Below are 23477 nucleotides of genomic sequence, written 5' to 3' on the forward strand. Positions count from 1 at the left end.
TTTTCCTTAAAAGACTAGAACATCTTTATCTCAAATTCATTGGGATTTTCATGAGATCTGAAACAAATATATAAATTAGGAACATTCCCTTAAGGAAAATTAAGACTCCTCTAGTCAAGTCCTCTTTTATATTTCCCCGTTTTTTATTATTTTCATTCTGCATTTTTGTAAATTAAAAACCAGATTTTTTGACAATTACATTTCCTGAATATTCCAAGAATTTAGAAAACTAATGATTTTGTATTTTTGCCCAACTTAATGAGTTTAAATTAGTGCACTTTTCACCTTTAAAAACATATTGTAGGTACTCCTTTATGTTTGTCTAATAAACCTTCACCTGGTCTCACATTTAAGCAATATCACATTTTCATCTGTTATAGCACATAATTAGAAATTTTTAACCCAGTGTTTTCAACATTTTAAAATGAAGCATTGAACGTGTTTTGATACATTTGGCTTTAATCATCTTGATCCGTTTATTTTAATATTTTAGGCCAACTTCTTGGGGATTTTTTTGGTAGTCATTGCTACAGAGACTGAATAATTTTTGCTTTTATCTTCTCCCATTTTGAAAGGTATATGCACTTTTTTTAGTTTTATTAAGTTGTAATTTTAGGTTTGTAAAAAAAAAAAAAAAAGGCCTTTCTTAAATTGTCATTCAAAAAGAAAATGTTATTATGAGTCCCTGCTATTTAAGATCAGAAATGTGGCACTTATGGTCTCTCTCCAGTTGCCGGATGTAGCAACTAAAAACAGAAATGACCAGTTAAATTTGAATTTCAAATGTATGAAATTTTAGTGTAAGTCCCATGCAATATTTGGGACACCCTTATACTAAAACAATTATTCTTTGCTTATATGAAATTCAAACTTAACTGGGTGTCCTGACAACCTTACTCTCCTACCCAGACTCAGCATTTGTACACTTTACACTCAGCATTTGTATATTTTTATTGCACATTTAATTTTTTGAAGTTTTGGAAACTATCCAGACAACTGCATATCTAATTGATTTCAGTGCTTATCACTAGTCCTTTTATACCATGATTTCCACATTCACAAACTCTCTTTAAGGCACATATACGCTACACTGTTTTCTTGCTTATCAAAAATATTTGTTTCCTGCACATATGAAAGACACTTTTGTTATAAAACTGGTGATAATAAACTTTTCAAATCTCAAAATTCTGAACGTGCTGCTCCATTGCCTTCTGAGTTACTGTTGCAGAGCTCTGTATCCACCCTCCCTTTCTGGTTTTGCAGATAACCAGAATTTTTCTTTCTGCATGCTTTTAATTGCTTCTTTCTAACCTGTTTCTAAGGTTGCTTTAATACTGGTTTTGCCTAAAACTTAGTGACCATATACTTTTAACTCAGAGAAAGTTTCTTAATGTCTTTGATCATTGATTCTATGCCAAATGTTCTTTCACCTTCCTTAGAGACACCTTTAATTCTCACACTGGACCTCCATCCTCTGATATTCATATCTGTTCTTTCTTAGTTTCCATCTCATTATCCTTTTCAGATACATTTAAGATCAGATCAAGTTTATCTATTAACTATCAATTATTTTATATTCTTCAGTGTTACTTTTTATTGCATTTATTTTGATACAGTATTTCAGAGCTCCCTGAAGTCCTTCTTTGTTGTATCTATTTCTCTTTTCACTTTAGATACTCTTCTCTACTTGTATATTTCTACTCTATCTTTACTGAGTTCAGATTCTCTGTTATGCCACTAAGGACACCAACATTTCTGGAAATTTCCTCTGAAGCCTGCAGCAGCTAATTTTCAGGGCAATAAGTTTCCAGGTCTTTAGGATGATATTCTTTTCTTCAGTATTGCAATTCCCTCTAATTTTCCTAAACATGTCCACTTTTTTTTCTCTTGGTATTACTTCAGCATATTTGTGTATCAATAATTAAGACTGTGTATTCCGACTAACTCTATTCTGAGATAATGGCCAAACTCTCTTTTTACATAATTAGCTTCAGGGTTCATCGTTGCACAGAGTTCTGAGTTCAATGCTGTCCTTGCAGATATTTCTCTATTACCACTCTGTTCTACTGAGATTAAATAAAATTCTACTGCTTGGATCTCTAATTCCGAACCAATGGAGTATCTTCCATTTCTAGCACTTTTGTCCATACCCTTCACACCTTAGAGAAAATTCTGTACTTCTTGTTGTTTGGTATCTGAACCTATTATTAAGCGTGGAAAACCGGAAAGGGAAGGGATGAGTGCACTGTAGTCACCTCAAAGTGAAGCACCCCTGCAACAGAAGGATGGTCCCTGGGTTTTCTGGTTGACAGAGATAACAACTCAGATACACTGTCTCAGACACAATGTCATACAATGCTTTCCTATCTTTTATTAGGTGGCTTTTGTCCATAAACAATTGAATTCTACCGGCCAAAACTGAGTTTTAAGTTCTATGTGTTTCCATCTTTTCTGTTACTTCCTAGGGAGTTTTTAGGGGAGTTAAGAGATGTCGTTTAACAGTTGGCCAACCAGTTTCAATTCAAACCAAAATTTAAGTAAATATTTTGAAGACAGTGAAAATACAAAATTGAACACACAATTTCATGCACATTAAAATGCACAGAAAAAAAGACTAGAATGAAATAGAATGAAGAGTTTTCTCCTTAAATGTTTAATATATTTATGACTGTATTATATTTATAGTAGGTAAAGAAAAATACACTATAATTTTAAATATATAGGGTTTTTTCTAAAGATCTCCTTTTGAAGCAAATAATTCTTAGTGGGAGATAGGGGAAACTATAAATGTTGCTTGGGATTACTTGTGTTATTTATAAGATTTCCTTAACAGCAGGATTTATAGGGTTTAAAGGTTAGGTAAACTTTGATTAAAGCTGTTAACTAAATGAACAATATTTATAAGTTTCCTCTTCTATGATTATTGTGAAGATGTGAATTATGATCAAATCCCTTATAATATTCACGGCATTTGTAAGGTTTCTCTCCTGCATGGACTCTTTGATGAATTCGAAGAGCTGAGCTATGACTGAAACCTTTACCACACTTAGCACATTGATAAGGCTTCTCTCCTGTATGGACCCTCTGATGAATGTGAAGATTAGAACTGTGACTAAAACCCTTTCCACAATCATGACATTTATAGGGCTTTTCTCCTGTATGGACTCTCTGATGAATGAGAAGATGTGAACGCTGACTGAATCCCTTGCCACACTCTTCACATTTGTAGGGTTTCTCTCCAGTATGTACTCTTTGATGAGTGTGAAGCTTTGAACTCTTACTGAAGCCCTTCCCACATTCAGGACAAGTATAGGGTTTCTCCCCTGTATGGACTCTCTGATGAATGCGAAGATCTGAGCTGTGACTAAAGTCCTTTCCACAGTCATCACATTTATAAGGTTTCTCTCCTGTATGCACTCTCTGATGAATTTGAAGATTTGAGCGCTGGGTAAAGCCTTTACCACAGTCTTCACATTTATAAGACTTCTCTCCTGTGTGTACTAACTGATGAATTCGAAGATTTGAGCTCTGGCTGAAACCCTTACCACACTCATCACACTTATATGGTTTTTCTCCTGTGTGGACTCTCTGATGAACATGAAGTACTGAACTCCGATTAAAACTCTTACCACACTGATTACATTTAAAAGGCTTCTCTCCTATGTGAAGTCTCTGGTGAATGTGAAGTAATGAATTTCTACTGAGGTCTTTATCACACTCAATTTTATAGAATTTCTCTTCTGTGTGGACTCTTTGATGATTGTGAAGACTAGAGATCTGGCTGAAGCTCTTACCACATGCATTACAGCTATAAGGTACCTCCCCTATGTGAACTCTCTGATGAAAGTGAACTCCGGAGCTCTGATGAAAGTTACCGTCAACTTCATCACATCCGTACAGCTTCTTACCTATGTGGTTTCTTGGATGTCTATACAAGTCTGATCTCTGAGAGAAGCATGCTTTACAGATGGAGCATTGACAGAGGTTTTCTCCAGGTTGATTTCTCTTGTGGAAAACACACCGTGAGTTCCAATAATAAATTCCTTTACATTTATTACATCCACAGTACTTTTCTTCCATTGAATCTCTCAGTAGGTCTTCTTGACATATCACCCCAACATACTGTGGAAGGGCTTCCTCCACTGGGATATAAGAATGCTGAACTATGAGCTTCTGTTCTTTTTCCATGGAGAGGTTTTTCCTGGATATGCCAAGACGGTATCTGCCCCCTTGAAAACCATGTGAACCACTCATGTAGATTTCTCTACCATAGTCTTGAGTGGTTTTTGTTTCTAAGGACTGCCAAGGCATAAAATTTTTATATTTTAAGTTCCTGAGACTTTTGCTTTCAAAAGTCAGTTCATAGTTCCCATACCCTGGTACTTGTGTGGAGAGTATTAACCATTCCTGACACTGGGAACGATCTTGCTGTGTGAGGTCTTTGGAATCTGTCCCTTGAACAGTTTCCCCATAGTTCTGATTCTCATACATCTGGGCGCCAGCATTCCACCAGCCTTGCCAGTAGGAAAAATTTTCATATTCTAAGTATCTGAATTTTTCTTCTTGGGATTTGTAGCTCTCATTCCAGTTTTCTAGAAAAATAAAAAGATAATCCCATGGTGAGATAAAAGCTGTGTTGAAAAATTTCCAACTATCTAAATCAATGACCTTTAAATGATAGGAATATATGTGTGGCTGGGGGTAGGAAAGAAGGGTTATGACTCTGCCTGCTCCATTTGGGTCTGAAATTCATTTATTTTGTTCATTCATGTATGTATTCATTCATTCACTTATTTATTCATTCCACAAACATATCTTGAGCAGGCACTGTTAGAAAGATTTAACTTCTATTTACCACGCACTGTTAGAAATGAGAATAATGCCAACTGCTTCATGGAAATAGTCGTAAAGACTGAGATTTAATTAGATTACTTCATTTTGTATGCTCTTATAAGAAACAAAATATATTGTTCCTATTTTTCTGTTCTAGAATAGCATGGTAGATTGAGAAAAAATGACTACATTAACTCACTACTTTACCTACACCTTTGGTGTTCTCCTTCCACACTCTCTCTATGCTTGGCTACACAATTTGCGTTGGTAACTGGGAAAATAACAAAAGTAACACAAGCAGAGACTTGAAAAGTCCTTGCCCTCTCTCGATGCTTTTGAAAATCCCGTGACCACCACCATGTAAGTGTGCTTGGGTTGGCTTGTTTGAAGAGAGATATATGGCCAACACATTCCCACTACCTCCACTGATACTGAGCCGACTGCCCCACATTTGAGTCAGGCCAGGCAGCTTAATCTTAGACCATTCAACCACAACCAAATCCTCCATGATAAAAGATCATCCAGTCAATGAGAATCATAAAAAATAATAAAGTTTGTTTTTAAGCCACTAAGTCTGGCATAGTATGTTATACAACAAAAGCTAACTTATACAAATAGCATGAAGAGAGAAAAAATTTAGGACCACACAAAATTGACTACATATGGAGATATGTGTTTTAAGGGTAATGCAGAGAATAACTAAAACTAATAATCACAAGTATCTATTAATGATATAACCTAGGTGTCCTGGAATCTGTCTTGCTTTATCTTCTATTTGTAACATGATTTAAGAAACATTTTTGAGAATATCTCTTCCAACACCTCAATATAACACCCAGATAAAAAAACAAAATACTCAACAAAACTGCTCCTAGAAGAAACTCTATTCCCTATGAGACGGGATAACTTTACCTACTGACATGACATTTGTGTAGTTCTCCCACATGACCTCCCTGTAGAGTCTTTTTTGAGAAGAATCCAGGAATTTCCACTCCTCCCATGTAAAAATAATAGTCACATCTTCAAATGTTACTGCCATCTGGTCAAAGATCAGGCTTTCTAGGAAAAAGAAATCTAAGTGAGAAGATGGACAAAGATAAAGACATTTAGCAGATAAGATATGTGGCAAGCCGAATAGAAAAAACAAGAACTTCAGTAAAGGAGAAAACCAAGAAAGGTAAGGAGAGGTAATAACAATAGTAGTTAAATAGCTAAATAATATATCCAATCATGAAACATCATCACTATCAAAAGAAACACCTATACAGCACTTGTCTACTAAGTTTTTTACCTATATTTCAGTTACTCCTCACAGAAATCCCATGTTGTAGGTAGCTTTCTACTACTATTATGCATTTTAGAATGGAAAACAGATAAATATATGTATTAAAACTGCCTAAAGTAATTATTTTAGTGGAAAGAACAGATCATAAATTGGTTATGTGACAAAGCCATTTTATTTTTTAAAATTTTCATTGTATCTATTTGATCACACATTCTCAATTCTAAATTTCAATTTAAAATATTGAGTACCTACTAAGAATAAAGGAAACAGATACTTTTAAGGAGTTTACAACAAAATGGAAGGAAAGCCAAATACTATCATCATCAGCAGCAGCAGCAGCACCATCATAGCTGCAGCTAAATCTTATTGAATGTTTATTGTATGAATAGGGCTATGTTATCTCATTTACTCTCAGAACAATCCAATAAGGTATTATTATTCACAATAAATGAATACGCAATCTAACGTTTAGCAAGACTAAGTTACTTGTATAAGATTATGTAGTTACATCATAGAGGTTTTTAAACCCAGCACTACCTATTAAATAAAAGTGAGATAAATTAAAAATGTTTGATGAAGGGTTGTCAGTTGAGATTTCCATATACTGTCATAATGTGTTAATGAAGAAGGGCAAAGGAAAGATGTACTGAAATATTCAAGGGTAAAAAATATGCCACCAAACTACTATTTTCCAAATAAACTACATGAAAATACATGTCTAAACAATAAAACATTAACCACAAATAAGAACTCAAGAATGAGAACATTCAGAGCCATGTATTTAAATACCTAGTGGTATATTTTTAATGTTTATAAAATAAGTTTAATAAATTTTAAATATAATGAATCCACTTTAAATATATAAATTAAAAAAAGAAAAATTTGGGATGCTCAGAAACTCAAACTACAGGACTGAAAACTGTGAAAGTTGGTATCTGGAAAATAAATGGACTCACTGATCTCTAATTTTATAAAAAGTACAATAAAAATAAAACTCAATCTGTAGTTACTGGATTTGTTATTTTTTAAAAAATTTAAGGATTTATTTTAAAAACATACTAGCAATTAGGAGTCTAATTTCTTTTACTGGAAATAAGTTCATAAATATTTAAAATACTGAAATAACATAAGTAAAAATTAAAAGCCTACCTTCCCCCAAATAATTTAAGAAATAACCACTATAACCAGTTTTCACTGTGTTCTAACCTTCTTCCATGTATACACAACACACATTCATACTTCACTGATTTTTTTCCTTAATAAAGACATGATAATTCTGCAATTTTCTTTTTTTCATTTAATACATAGTGTACAACTTCCCACTTCAGTACAGGTAGACCTGTCTTATTTGTGATAATTTTTAAACATGCCCACAAATTATTTGATCCTTTCCATTCAAGAAGTGAAGCCTAATTCCCCACCCCTTGAATATAGGCTGAACTTGGTGAGTAACTTCTGATGAATAGGAAATAAAGTGGATAAGGAAGTAGTGGCATGCAACTTTGGAGGCGGGGTCATAAAAGTCACTGCAGCTTCTTTCTTGCTCTCTCTCTGGGATCACTAGCTCTGGGAAAAGCTATATGTCATGTCATGAGAAAACCTAGGCAGCCCTGTGGTGAGGAACTGGGACCTTCTGCTTTCGTTGAGAAATGAGACATCTTGCCAACAGCCATGTGAGTAAACTATCTTAGAAGTGGATCCTCCAACCACGGTGCAGCTTTCAGATGACTACAGTCCCTGCTGACAGCTTCACTGCAACTTCATGAGACACCTTGAGACAGCTTAGCTTCTTCCAGATTCCTCACCCTCAGAAACTGGGTGAGATAATGTTTGCTGTTTTAAGTATTAAATAATTTGTTATGCAATAATAGATAACTAATATTATTTGTAAAAGTTACGTAGCATTTCATTTTATTGATGTCCAAGACTTAAATGTTCCCATATTAATGGACGTTAAGATCATTTCCAGTTTCTTGGCTACAACATATAGCAAAAGAATTCTCTTAAATATATCATATTTCTATTGTAATATTTATATATGATAATGTCTATATGATAAATATAAATAATTCTATATGACAAATAGATATATTTCTGTATGATAAACTTCTAGAAGTGAAATTGTCAGGCATCTGTATTTCAGTTTACTAAAAAATACTACAAAATGTCCCTTGAAAATATTTTTAAAAATATGTTACAAATATTTTCCCCCAGTGGAGCAATAAAAGCAAGACATCTATATTCAAAATTAGTAAGTACAATAAATCTAAACAGAAAAGAAGAAAAGAATTATATAAACAATAAACTAAGATGACAAGCCTATTGATAGAGAAAAGGATACTAAAATTGAGTTTTAAAATAAAGTGGCATACTGCTTATAAGAGATATACTCCAAACTAATGAATTCTGAAGGATTAAAAATGATCTGGCTAATGTTTTCTTGTGGTGTTTAAGTTCTTTATTCACTTCCTGTTAGCTGGTTCTTTTGTTCCAGGGACTTGATTAGACTACAGTTCATTCTTTCCGACAAGAATACCTGCCTATATACTTCCTATAGTACATTTTAGTTAGCTAAACTGAACAATGGCTTCAGGTGCTGTCAGCCCAGTCCTTCCATTCTAAGATTCTCTTAAACCTTTCACTAAAAGTTTTAGCAATAGATGATCATTTCCTGGATTTGTGATTTCATTAGGTTTTACAAATTGGTTGTCTAATTCTGTAATTCTACATACCTTGTGCATACATATGCTATAATTCTTCTATAATGAAAAACTTGCCATTACAAATTTTCTGGTTATCCTGAAATGTAATCCTAATGAAAAAGATAAGATAAAATGCTTGATTATCTCCCAAACTTACTCTCTTTCAAAAATCAATTTTCAGAGTAATGAGATGGGGCAAAGCAATCACCAACTATGACCAGTGAGATTTGTATTATTTTGCTTTTCAGTGTTTTCATACTCACTGATTCTTACATACTGGATGGATTGCAATTAAATTGCAGTCATTTTTCTTTTCGATGTGCAAGATTCTCTCATCTCAGACTAGTAGGAATCCCTTCAGGTTGGCTCCTGGGTTTGTAATATGACCTTTTTTGGTGTTTGAGAGCTTCCTTACTTTCTGGCACAACAAATGTCCAGGTTCATTCTTGTTCCATTTCCTTGACCAACTAGGATGTATTATTTCTCCCAGGAGTCTGATAATTTTCCACTCCTTTTTTGGTATATAAGTAACCCCCCAACAATATTATATAAACTTGATATCTCTTTTGTCCTCTCATCTATGAACACAGCTCTCTCCGATTATTAGTTTTCTTTAAGGTCCTTTTCAAGAAAGGTCAGTTAAAATCATTCTCTATACATCTGGAGTTTTGATTCCTTCTTCTAATATTGTCAGATTTTGCTTATACAATTTGAAATGGATTCTTAGCTACATATTAGTTCATGACTAATACATCTCCTTGATGGATCTTAACTATTGAACATTATTGACCTTTTATTGTGACATTAAATAAGTCTCTTGTAAAGAGCACAGAGAAAGATTTCTGTTTTTCATTCAATCAGTATGACTCAGTTATTTTATTATCCATGTTCATTTATTGTGATTACTAATACAGGCTTATTTCTAACATATTATTTTTTATTCTTCCTTTCCTGTCTCTTAGATTGACAGTTTTATGCTTTAATTTCTTCACATCGCCACCTTTTCATCTATATAGATTTCAATTTCACACATAGTTTCTATTATTTTAATAAGTAACCTAAATATATTTTAAACATATACACTTACCTATTTTTCTAATAAGTCAATTAAGAAGAGAAACTAATCCAGGAAAGGCTGCATGAAATATGACAAGAAAGGTGATCAAGTACCTTGGTGAAGTTTATTGTTATCATAAAACAAAACTAACAACAAAAGAAATAGGAGTGAACAAAGAAAAAAGGAGACATAGAAAGTATATCAGTGCCTACATATCTGAACTACAATTCTTGACAATACAAACATGAGGGGAGAAAGAGACAGATATAAGAGTGTGCTAAAGTCCATGTCTTATTAAAAATATGACCTAGATATTAATACATTTAAAAAGTCAGTAGGGGTAAATAAAAGTCAATGTGGGTTTTAAGTTAAGCACAACCATCATAAGAAACAAAATGAAATCTATGAAAAACAAAATAAAAACAGAAGACAACTTGCTCCACGGGAAAACAGAAAATAAGAAAAGATGGCAAAAATAATAAAATAATTATAATAAATTTAAATAATTTAATATTACAGATTAAAAGACTCAGATTAAAAAATAAGATTTAGCATGTGGTTTAGAACAGATACACTAAAAAGAAAAATATTTAAAAATACAAGGATAAAAAAAGATTGCAAAAATACGAATCAAAAGAAAGCTGAAATAGCAAACTTAATTTCAGATGAGTAAAATTTATGGCAAAAATACCATAAGGGACAAAAATGTTTTTTATATGAACAGTAGGAAAAAATATCCAAAATAAATTGAATCCACAGATAAAATTTCAAAATGTATCAAATGACAAGTGTCACAAATGTGAGGGGAAATATACATACCATTAGTTGTAATGATAGATATTAATATGTCCCTCTCAAAAAATTATAGCAAGCAAACAAAAAACCCTAATAATATGAAGACTAAACACTACAAATAATAAGCTTCAGTTATTTTATCTGTGTTGAACTCTACACCATCAAAATACAAAATACAGATTATTTTCATGAATACATAGTACTATAAGATAGACCATGTATTAGTCCATAAAAGAAATCATGATAAATTCCAAAGCATCAACATAATATAGAATACATTATCTAGCTACAATGTAATAAAATTTGAAATTATTAACAATAGAATTTTAAAAGTCCACACTTCTGAAACCCAAGTAACATACTATATTATTAAATAATCTTCAAATTTAAAAGAAAAATATAACAATTCTTAATTGTTTTTTCTTCAAAATCTAAATGTAATAATGACAATAATTACGTAAAAAATGTGCAAGATCCAAATGAAATACTTGAAGGAAACAAAAATGGCTAGAGCAGCTGGGCAAAGTGGCACACACCTGTAATTCCAAGCACTTTGGGAGCCCCAAGTGGGCGGATTGCTTGAGCCCAGGAGTTTGAGACCAGCCTAGGCAATATGGAGAAATCCCATCTCTACAGAAAATACAAAAATTAGCCAGGCATGGTGGCCCACACCTGTGGTCCTAGCTACTCAAGAAGTTGAGGTAGGAGGAGCAATTGAGCCTGGGAGGTTGAGGCTGCAATAAGCTGTGATTGTACCACTGCACTCCAGCCTGCAAGACAGAGCGAGATGCTGTCTTAAATAAATAAATAAATAAAATTAAAAAACCCCAGCTAGACTAACATCATACTGAATAGGTGAAGGCTCAAAGTATTTACCTTGAGAACCAGAAAAAGACAAGAATGCCCACTCTCACCACTCCTATTCAACACAGTACTGGAAGTCCTAGCCAGAGCAATCAGGCAATAGAAAGAAAGAAAAGGCATCCAAATAAAGACAGGAAGTCAAACTATCTCTGTTTGCAGATGACATGATTCCATACCTAGAAAATCCCAGAGTCTCTGCCCCAAAGCTCCTTTAGCTAATAAACAACTTCAGGAAAGTTTCAGGATACGAAACCAATATACAAAATTCAGTAGCATTTCTATATACCAACAACATCCAAGCTGAGAGCCAAATCAAGAATGCAATCCCATTTACAATAGCCACAAAAAGAATAAAATATCTATGCATACTGCTAACCAGGGAGGTAAAAGATCTCTACAACAAGAATTACAAAGCACTGCTCAAAGAAATCAGAGATGACATAAACAAATGGAAAAACATTCTATGCTTATGGATAGACTCAACATAATCAAAATGGCCATACTGAAGCAGTATACAGATTCAATGATACTTCCATCAAACTACCAATGACATTCATCACTGAATTAGAAAAAAAAAACTATTTTAAAATTCATATGGAACCAAAAAGGAGCCCAAATAGCCAAGGCAATCCTAAGCAAAATGAACAAAGCTGGAGGCATCACATTACCTGACTTCAAACTACAAAGCTACAGTAACCAAAACAGCAGGGTACTGATATGAAAACAGACACATACACCAATGGAACAGAATATAGAGCCCAGAAAAAAATGCCTCACACCTACCACCATCTGATCTTCAACAAAGTTGACAAAAACAAGCAATGGGGAAAGGACTCCTATTCAATGAATGGTGCTAGGATAACTGGCTAGCCATATGCAGAAGATTGAAACTAGACCCCTTCCTTATACAATATACAAAAATCAATTCGACATGGTTTAAAGACTTACATGAAAACCTAAAACTGTAAAAACCCTGGAAGATAACCTAGGGGATACCATTCTGGACATAGGACTTGGCAAAGATTTCATGATGAAGACACCAAAAGCAATTGCAACAAAAACAAAAATTGACAAATGGGACCTAATTAAACTAAAGAGCTTCTGCACAGCAAAAGAAACTATCAACAGAGTAAACAGACAACATACAGAATGGGAGAAAATATTTGCAAACTATGCATCTGACGAAGGTCCAAAGTCTAGAATCGATGAAGAATTTAAACAAATTAACAGGCAAAAAACAACCCCATTAAAAAGTAGGCAAAGGACATAAACACTTTTCAAAAGAAGACATACATGCAGTCAACAAGCATATAAAAAATGCTCAACATCACTAATCATCAGATAAAGGCAAATCAAAACCACAGTGAGATACCATATCATACCAGTCAGATGGCTATTATTAAAAATTCAAAAAATAATAAGATGCTGACAAAGTAGCAGAGAAAAAGGAATACTTAAATACGCTGATGGTGGGAATGTAAATTAGTTCAGTCATTGTGGAAAGCGGTGTGGTGATTTCTCAAAGAACTTAAAACAGAATTACCATACCCAGAAATCCCATTACTGGGTATATGCCCAAAGGAATATAAACTGTTCTACCATAAAGACAATAAGCATGTGTATGTTCATTTCAGCACTATTCACAATAGCAAAGACATGGAATCAACCTAAATGCCCATTAACAATAGACGGGATAAAGAAAATGTGGTACACATATACCATGGAATACTACACAGGCATTAAAAAAGAACAAAATTATGTCCTTTGCAGCAACATGGATGGAGCTGCAGGCCATTATCCTAAGTGAACTAATGCAGAAACAGAAAACCAAATACTGCACGTTCTCAATTATATTTTCGAGCTAAATATTGAGAACACATGGACACAAAGAAGGGAGCAACAGATATTAGGGCCTACTTGAAGGTAGAGGGTGAGAGGAGGAAGAGGATAAAAAAACTACCTATCTGGTACTATGCTTTACCTGGTTGACAAAATAATTTGAATGTCAAACACTCATGACTCACAATTTATATAACAAAGCTGTATATATAACCCTAATCCTAAAATAAAAGTTAAGAAAATGGCTAGAAATAAATCATTCAGCTCAGGAGTATAAAAAAGAGAAACCATCCCCCATTAAAAAAAAAAAAAAAGAGCAAACTTCAAAAAAGAAGAATAAAGTGGAAGTCAAAGATATAAGAAACAAATAAATGATTGAGAAAATGCATAAAGCCAAAAGATGTTCTTAAAAATTTAATGTCAGACCAATGAAAATCAGATTTTTAATAACACGGTTATGAAAAAATACAGAGCAAAATAAGGAAATAACTTTTGACATAAGATTTTTCAATGATGCAAGGGTGTTGTGAACTATATATATAAGGATATTTATGAGCTATAGGCAAATACACCTAAATATGTACCTAAATAAATGGATCAATTCCCAGTGAAGTATAAAAAAAATAAAATGGCAAAATAGATGAAAGACTAATAAAAAATCATATAGACTAGTAAGTACTAAATTAAAATGGTAGCCATGCTCTTCCTCCCTCTCCCTAATCCCAAGGCTCTAAGAGTTTTATAGCTGAGTTCTAGCAAACATGTAATTAACTTAATTACTATTACAATACATAGTTTTCAAAAGTAGAGAGTGAAAATTGCCAACTTATTTTATGTAGCTAGTATAATCTTGGATTCCAAGACCAGATAAGAATGATACAAATAAAATTAAATTACAGGCACATTTGTAAATTTTGTAAATATACAAAAATCCTAAATAAAATATTAGCTAATTAAATTCAGTAATATATCAAATATATGCATCATGATCAGACAGTTTATTATAGGAATGCAAGGATCGTTCAACATGAGAAAAATCTATTAACACAATTCACTATATTAATAGACTATAGAATAAATCCATGATAATCTCAACTGATGCAGAAAAATCAAGTGCTATAAAGTTCAGGAAGTTCAACACCGATGTATTCTCTTAAAAACACTTGTAGCAAACTAGAGGAAAAAAATAAACTCCCTAAAGTGGCAAAGGTTAAATATCAAGAACTTTAAGCTTAATGGAGAAACTTCACATATATTCCCTTTACAATGGTAACAAGAATGACCACCGTCACTGCTGCTTTCAACACAGCACTAGAGATTCTGGCAAATACTATAAGAAAAAGAACTAAGAGCTACAAGAATTAGAAGCAAAAATATAAAATGTCATTATTTGCATAGTTATGGCCATCTACCTAGAAAAAGAGTATACAATAAACTATAAATTAAGAGAGTTCAGCAAAACTATCAGATACAATAAATAGTTTAATGACTCAGCAATCAACTACTAGAAAGTAAGATACCATTCACACCAGAAAAAAAACCCTATCTTAACCAAGAATACAAATAATTATTTGAAGAAAACTTTCACATTCCAATAAAGAAGAAAGATTATCTAAATAAAAGGAGAAGCATGCTTCCACGCTCTTGGATGCAGTAACTTAAATTCAATACATTCCAGTCAAATATTCAGATGGCTATTCTGAGGAACGCAATAGACTTCTGTTCCTTAAAATTGACAAGGAAGGAAATAAGTTGGTAAAGACAAGTAAACCAAACAGGAAGACTACCAGATACTGACATATCACCAAAACTACAGTAGTAAAATCAGAAGAGACAAATAGACCAGTAGAACAGAGCAGAGGGCTCAGAGACTAACCAATGTGCTTCTTTATCTACAAAAACATATTAACAATAGAGGTGGCATTAAAAATCAAAGACAGAGGTAAGGATTATTTACCAGATAGCATTATGAAAACTGATTAACTATATGAGATAAAATAAAACTGGATTCCAACTTAATACCATATACAATGGTTAAGTATATAGATCAAGTAAGTACTTAAATGTTAAGGGGAAAACTATAAAATTAATGAAAAAAGATGGAATTAATGAAAAAAAAGATGGAATTTGAAAACATTTACCACTGTTAAATGAATCCAAGAGCCAGTCCTTTGAGAGGAAAAATATTAATAACAAAGTAGATAAATCACAAGCTAGTTAATCAAAGGGGGGAAAAGGAGCACAAATAGAAAAAAATAAAAATAAGATTAGGGAAATAGCAACTACAACCTTTAAAAATAACTGGAACAAAAGTTTTCTCAAATTCTTTCAAATTTTCAAAGAACAGATTATTTGATGCTATGAAATTATCCCAAGGCATCAAAAACTGTTCAAGGCATCAGAAACGAAAAACTCTTCAAGACGTCAGAAATAAAGTGAAACATAAGGCCAGTAAAATCCAGCAGCACTTGAATTCATAATCTACTACCATATCACTAATTACTTCAACATTTAGTAGCTTAAAACAACAATAATTATTTACTATTTCTTATTTTTTTTTCTGGGTCACAAATTCAGGAGTGGCTTAGCTAGGCAGCTCTGGTTTGGATCTCACAAGATAAGTTGTTGGTTACATCTGCAGTCATCAAAAGGCTTGACTGAGAAGAAGGATTCAATTCCAGGGTGGCTAACTCCCATGGCTGGCAGGCTGGTCTAAATGTTGATGAGAGATCTGTTTTTTCTCCACGTGGTCCTTTCAAGTGGCGGGGGCTATCTGTCAGCATGGTGCAAGTTGCCCAAAAGAAAGTCAAGCAAAAGCTGCATTGTTTTTATGACTTAGCCTTGGAGGTCACATCCTATCACTTCTACTGTACTCCACTGATGAGGCAATCACAAGCCATGGCTGTATTTGAGAGGGGTGGGACACAGACCCCACCTTTCAGTGGAAACAATGTCAGTCACATCATAAGAAGAGCATGAAAACAGCATAAATTGTAAGTGTTGGGAAAAAGCTGAGTGTTGTGAAGGAAACTGAGGCAGGGTTTGCATAATGTCCTTTGGAATGTGTCTAGACTTGCTGGCTCCTTGCTTCTAGCCCTCCTAGGCTCCTATTCCCACTATCTAAAGTAGCAGAACATGTTCCATATAAATGCTAAACTATCGCAGCTGTAAATCATGTGCTTAATGCAACGTGTCCTTTTGACCTCCACATTCTCACCACCTGTTTCTCTGTTGGATTACCAATAAATAGCGTGGGCTCCCAGAGCTTGGGGCCTTCGCAGCCTCCGTACAATAGCGATGGCCCCCTGGTGTTCCCACCTCCTTTTCTCTCTCACTGTCTTTTTCTCAATCCTTTGACTCCGCCGGACTTTGTCACCCCCACGACCTGGTGTTGGGTCTGATCACCCCAACAATAAGTAAGGCCATCTTTGGAAAATTCAATCTGTTATAATACCAAAGCATATTATATCATGGTAAAGTGGTAGTTTATTCCAGAAAGAAAAGGAAGGTTCAAATTAGGAAAGCTATTAACTTTAAGCTTTTATAATAACATCAAATAAGAAAAGCCATATGATTATTGTAATGGATGCCAAAAAGTATACTTATTAAAATTCAACATGCATCCTTCATTTAAAACTACAGACAAAGCATGCAAAACAAAACAAAGCAGAAGACATACAAACATATCTTAAACCCAAAGATAAAGCATTAAAGTCATTCTCATTAAAACTGGAAACTTGACAAGGATACTGCAAGTCCACAACTTTTAAACTACTGTGAAACTACAGCATAATGCAATTAGACAAAATTATCTGTAGAGGATATGACTGCATATCTGAGAGATCCAAGAAAATCAGCTGAAAACTACTGGCAATGATAAGGGAATTCATGATCCCAGAAATTCTGTTACTAGAATTATAAACTAGACATTACACATGTATACCAAAAGATCTGTACAAGAACAGTTAGAGCATAATAAATGCTGTAACAGCAAAAAACTAAAGCAATCCAAAAAGTCCAACAACAAAACAGATAAGTTGTTCATACTATGAAATAGTACACAGCTGTGAAAATGAACAGCTACATGAATCAACATCGATGCACTGTAAAATTTAGCATTATGCAAAAGAAGCCATTCATGGAAGAATATATAGTGATTCAATTTTACAATGTTCAAAAATATGCAAAACTAAACAATTGTGTTTAGAAATGTACCTGTAGTTAAAAGCGCAGGAAAAAACAATTAAGGAATAACAACATTTAAGATAGTGGCTGCCCCTTTAGGAGAGGGGTGGGAAAGAAATTCTGGAGTCATCAGAGGGCTTTTACAAGTATATGCTGATTTAGGCTGGGCATGGTGGCTCACACCTATAATCCCAGCACTTTGGGAGGCTGAGGCAGGCAGGTCACTTGAGGCCAGGAGTTCGAGACCAGCCTGGCCAACATGGCGAAACCCTGTCTCTAACAAAAAAAAAAAAAAACAAAAAAAAAACACTACCCAGGAGGTGGAGGTTGCAGTGTGCTGAGATCACGCTACTGGACTCCAGGCTGGGAGAGAAAGCAGTCTGTCTTAAAAAGAAAAAACAGTGTATGCCGAGTTCAATGGTGAGTGTCCGTGTTATTATATTTTAAATTGTACGTATGTTTTCATATATTCTTTTGCTTATAGGAAATACATCATAATAAAGTTCAAATTACATAAAATCTAAGAGTATACAAAAAGAGTTCAGACATATAAATAATAATTAGAATTTTTTTTTTTTTTTTTTTTGAGACAGAGTCTCGCTCTGTTGCCCACGCTGGAGTGCGGTGGCATGATCTCGGCTCACTGCAAGCTCTGCCTAAATGAAATTTATAATAGCAATAAGAATATAAATTCCTAAAAATAAATTTACCAAAAATACCAGAACCTATATAAAGATAGTTTTAGAATTTTGAGTGCTAAAAATAGGGTTGGGGTCGGGTGCGGTGGCTCATGCCTGTAATCCCATCACTTTGGGAGGCCAAGGTGGGCGGATCACTTCAGGTCAGGAGTTCGAGACTAGCCTGGCCAACATGGTGAAACCTTGTCTCTATTAAAGATACAAAAATTAGCCAGATGTGGGGCTCACCCGTGTAATCCCAGCTACTTGGGAGGCTGAGGCATGAGAATCACTTTAACCTGGGAGACAGAGGTTGCAGTGAGCCAAGAGTGTGCCACTGAACTCCAGCCTGGGCAACAGAGCAAGATGACTCTGTCTCAAAACAACAACAAAAACAACAACAACAACAAATAGGCTTGAAAAAACAAGATGACTCTGCTCAGTCTTAGGAGAAATAAATATAATTTTGTTCTAACTAAACTTATCTCTATTTTCAAGCAGATTTAATCAAGATATTAATCTTGATTTTGATGTGGGGTTGGAGGAGCTGTAACAAACTGATTTTCAAATGCTTTTGAAAGAAAACCATTTTGAAAGTGGAATAATGAGGAGAGGCTAATTCAATGGCATATTAAAACTTTAATAAGGACTCTGCAATTCATAACATGGCTTGACATACAAGTAGAGAAGATCAATGGAAACGGGTACAAATCCAGAAATGGACACAAGTACAACAGTGCATTTTACACATGACAAAGGTTACATCAAATTTGTGGGGGAAAGACGGCTTATTCAATCAATGATGTTGGGACAAATGATGACATCTGGCAAAAAAAAAAAATTAAGCTTGATACTCTGTCTCAATTCTTACGTCTTAGTGACTAAAAAGAATTATATCAGATATGCATTATAGTTCAAATAATAGCTAACAATGCAATCAATTGTTAGTTCTTCATGTCCAGCACTGTTCTAAGTTATTTTTACATGTATGATCTTGTTTAACATTCTTAACAGCCCTACACAGCAGCTGTTATTTCTCCACTATAAAGATGAAAGCCTAGCTAAGTGATTCAATCTAGTTCACAGTATTAAGAAGTGACAGACATGCAATAAGCTTAGGTAGTGGATGTAGAGCCTGTACTATGACCAATGTGCTATATTGATTAAACATAATGAAAGGTTAGTATATACTTATTATCTAAAACTTATTATATATATGTTCCTTTTACATCTTTTTGACCAAAATGGAAATCATCAGAATATTATTCTGTGGAAAAAGCCATCCTCTCTCATTTTTATCTTCACTGAGTGAAAAAGAAATGCTACATTCTTCTTCATTGCGTATTAAATGCACTACATATAAAGGGACAACAATAAAAACATTCTGATACCAGTGTAAGAATTGAGAAGAGGCTCCACAAAACAAGACAGCCTCAAAAGTAATCTTTGTATACATATGTGTATGTGTAATTTGTATATGAAAAGGTAGCACCACAGTCAGTAGAGAAGATAAATGTTAGTAGAAAAATTAAATAACCTAAGTAGGAAGTAAAAAGAATGTTTAAATTCTGTCATTTCTCACATCAAAATAAATTCTTGATAGATTTAAAAATTAAATGTTTAAAATAACACAATTAAGAAACAGGAAAATGAAAGCAATTACATATTAAATTTGGAAGTGAAGAAGAGATTTCAAAGCACAGAACTATATAAGTAAAAGAAATGAGATTTCATTTTATGCAAATTTAAAACTTATATAAACAAGTCCTTAAAGTAAAAGGCAAATGATAAACTAGGAGAAATATTTACAGCATATGACAAATGATTTATATGTTTTCCACACAAGAATATCTAATATCAAGTGGAAACAAAAAATTCAGTAGGAAAACAGTGATGTATATCAAAAGGCAATTCATCAAAGAAGGAATATAAAGAGTCAACGAATATATGTGAAAAAGTCAACCCTACTAAGGATTAAAAAGGATGCAAATCAAGGCAAAATTTAAAACTTAATACTCAGTGCTGGCAAAGGCTCAGTAAGATAGAATCATTCATCAAATGGTTGTAGGAGTTCAAGTTCACATAACATTTCTAAAAGAGAACTTCAGTTTTTCAAAAGCCTAAAACATGCTTATATCCTTTGATTCTGTTTTCCTATTTCTCAGAGTATATCTTGAGAAAATAAAAAGACATATACTTAACAAATTATGTATAAGAATATTTATTATAAGATATTTATAACAACAACATATTGGGAAATACTTAAATTTTCCCCAGTAAAAAGCAAACTTAATGGGAGTCCAAGGTGGGCAGATTGCCTGAGCTCAGGAGTTCAAGACCAGCCTGGGCAACACGGTGAAACCCCATCTCTACTAAAAATACAAAAAAATTAGCTGGGCATGGTGGCGTGCACCTGTAGTCCCAGCTATTCGGGAGGCTGAGGCACGAGAATTGCTTGAACCAGGGAGGCTGAGGTTGCAGTGAGCCGAGATTATGCCACTGCACTCCAGTCTGGGCGACAGAGCGAGACTCCGTCTCAAAAAAAAAAAAAGCAAACTTAAATAAAGCATACTATATACCTAGAATGGAACACTATACAGTCATTAAAACTCATGCTACCAAAACATGCTTGGAAAAATGCTCATTATATGTTAAGTGAAAAACGTATACAAATAACAGCTATTCATACATTGAATAAATATTTACTGAGTGCTTAGTATACGCACAGTACACTTCTATATACTGGGAACATTTCCTTCCCTCATGGAGACTATTTGTCATGAGTCAAATTTTTTAATTTAATGTTTTATATATACTAATCTTTTTATATACGTGTGTGCATATACCTAAGTTTATATTTGTACATGTGTATGAACATGTATACATACATATCAGTATTTGTACAGACTAGTGAGTACATATATACAATAAGTATTAAATAAAAGACTACAAGTAAATACACCCAAAGGTCAACAATGGCTGTCAATATGGTTCATGTGAAGAGATGCACAAGAATAAATAACAAATTTAAACATTAATTGCCTTCCACAATGTGGCTTTATACATTCATGTTTCACTTCCCTGTCACTAGCCTGGTTTCCTTATTTGTTCCCTCAAATTGTACCTGAGAGTAAATGATGGCTTTCCTATTTAGAATATCTTCCTACTCATAATTGTTCAAATCTGAGTTTCTGTTGCTGTGTTTTAAGTGCCACTCATTCTGGCACTGTTTAATGTCGATAACTTCAGAAATTATTATTAATCTCATATAGTTTATTACCCCCAATGTTAAGACTTTTTTTTTTTTTTTTTTTTTTTTGAGAGGGAGTCTTCCTCTGTTGCCCAGGTTGGAGTGCAGTGGTGCCATCCTGGCTCACTGCAACTTCAGCCTCCCGGGTTCAAGCAATTCTCCTGCTTCAGCCTCCTGAGTAGCTGGGATTACAGGTGCCTGCCACAATGCCTGGCTAATTTTTGTATTTATAGTAAAGACGAGGTTTCACCATGTGGGCCAGGCTGGTCTCAAACTCCTGACCTCAAGTGATCCGCCCACCTTGGCCTCTCAAAGTGCTGGGATTACAGGCGTGAGCCACCGCGCCTGGCGATGACATTCTTATAATTCTTTATCTCAGAACACCAAGAACAGCATGAATTATACACTAGACTTGAGTGACTGAATGAATGAATGAGTAAATGTTGGGAAAAGACACTGGGTTGGGGCAGGGTCAAGTCTGCACGCTCGAAAATTTCACAGGCAAGCGAGGAACGTTTTCTGTCCAGTCATCCATCCATCCTCATTGCCACCTCCACCACCCATGGAGAATGCAGGGACATTTTGTAAATGAGAAAAGACAATCATCCTCACTTGGGATCAGACTATGAGGGAAACAGTGTACATTCCTTCCTCCTTTGTGTTCCTCTTCTGGGGAAGGGTAGAGTGCTGAGACGGCTGAGCTGAGGAGGAAGGCAGACTGAAAACCTGGGTATGGCTTTAAATTCCCAAATTCATTAAATTTCCCATATACTAACTGGGTATGACGCACACATCTCCTAGCAAGAGGTCCAAAAGAAGCCTATGAATGCTCTTGTTTCCTTTCAACGACCAGAAAGGAGAGCTATGAACACTGGCACCTTGAAATTTATTTCCAACCCTCTAGAAACTTCAAAAGATACAACTCACTTATTTATTGAGATTATTATTACTACTAACAATAATAGGAAAGCACCAGCACACTTAAATAGTATCTATTCTCAAGGTATTTTTCTTATTTTGTTCAGTTTAAGTAGAAAATCATTCCATTGTCCTCCCCTACTTGCTAAACAGGAATACTGGATTTACTATCAGAAAAGTACCTGGAGTCTTAGAGAAGTATCCCAGAACTGGAGCTCCCAGGTCCTGATCAAAGTCTCAACTGTGCCATCAAGCACTTGTAGAACTTTAAAGAGGACCAAACTTATAGATCTCCAAGATCTCAGTTTCCTTACCTGTAAAATGGGGGCATGAGCCTTTGCCACCCCAGTCCTTCCTTGCTGATCAAAGGTAGGTTCCTGGGCAAAGTAATAAGCAATTAGTTAACCCTCTTTCTCTAGGGAAAAAACGTTTCATGCGTGCCCCAAGAGCAGGACAGGTTTGGGCTCCCCCAACGCGTCACGGGCTGCCCAAGTGTAAGCACCAGAGAACCAGACACACGAACGGTTCTCTAGGAGCGGGATCTCCCGGTCTCCGCCACAGACCCGGGGGTCCCCTGCTCCTGCACTGAAGACGCGCGCGGCCTCCGTTGCTTATCCAGATCCCCGGCCAGAACTCTGCCCCGGCACCGAACACCGGGCACCCATACCCCGGGGCCCAAGCTGCTTCTGCCCTCCTCTACTTGCCTTTATTAAGTCTTAACGTGGGAGAGAAGCCGTGATGTACCCATCTACACGGGTGTCTCTGGGGTTTCTAAACCGGAGTAGCTTCTCAGTCCCTGACCCTCGATTTTCTGCCCCTCTTCCTTCAAGCACAGCTCGTCTTGCCCTGTCCGCTTCTGGCTCAGTCCTCCTGAGAGTTCATGTCACTTAACGGAGCCTGTGAGAGTGGACCGGGATGGCCAAAACACTCAGTCCACACAAACAATGGCCGCAGCCCGGCTGGACCGAAACGGAAGTCCCAGGTCTTGGAGTAGACACTCGCAGTGTTTCCATGGATACGGGAGGGGCGGGGCGGGAAGAGAGAGCGCGGGAAAACGTGACTCCTGATTGGC

The 23477-nt window shown here is 35.0% G+C and overlaps 1 protein-coding gene across 10 annotated transcripts; it reads right to left on the reverse strand.

The window, feature by feature from the left end:
* Nucleotides 1-121: 121 nt before the first annotated feature.
* Nucleotides 122-23383, reverse strand: ZNF214 (zinc finger protein 214). 10 transcript variants are annotated; one of them, NM_001354830.2, is made up of 4 exons: nucleotides 23110-23383; nucleotides 22720-22782; nucleotides 5746-5888; nucleotides 122-4592 (listed from the first exon to the last, which is right to left on the reverse strand). In NM_001354830.2, exons 2-4 carry the CDS (start codon nucleotides 22734-22736, stop codon nucleotides 2899-2901), a joined length of 1854 nt encoding a protein of 617 aa, NP_001341759.1. In that variant the 5' UTR covers nucleotides 22737-22782; nucleotides 23110-23383; the 3' UTR covers nucleotides 122-2898. The 10 variants fall into 10 exon arrangements, 9 of the variants coding, with proteins under 9 accessions (NP_001341759.1, NP_001341760.1, XP_006718372.1 ...); NM_001354831.2 differs by having other exon boundaries at nucleotides 5746-5892; XM_006718309.5 differs by lacking the exon at nucleotides 22720-22782 and having other exon boundaries at nucleotides 5750-5888.

Source organism: Homo sapiens, chromosome 11, assembly GCF_000001405.40.
Source record: "Homo sapiens chromosome 11, GRCh38.p14 Primary Assembly".
Taxonomy (NCBI): Eukaryota; Metazoa; Chordata; class Mammalia; order Primates; family Hominidae; genus Homo; species Homo sapiens.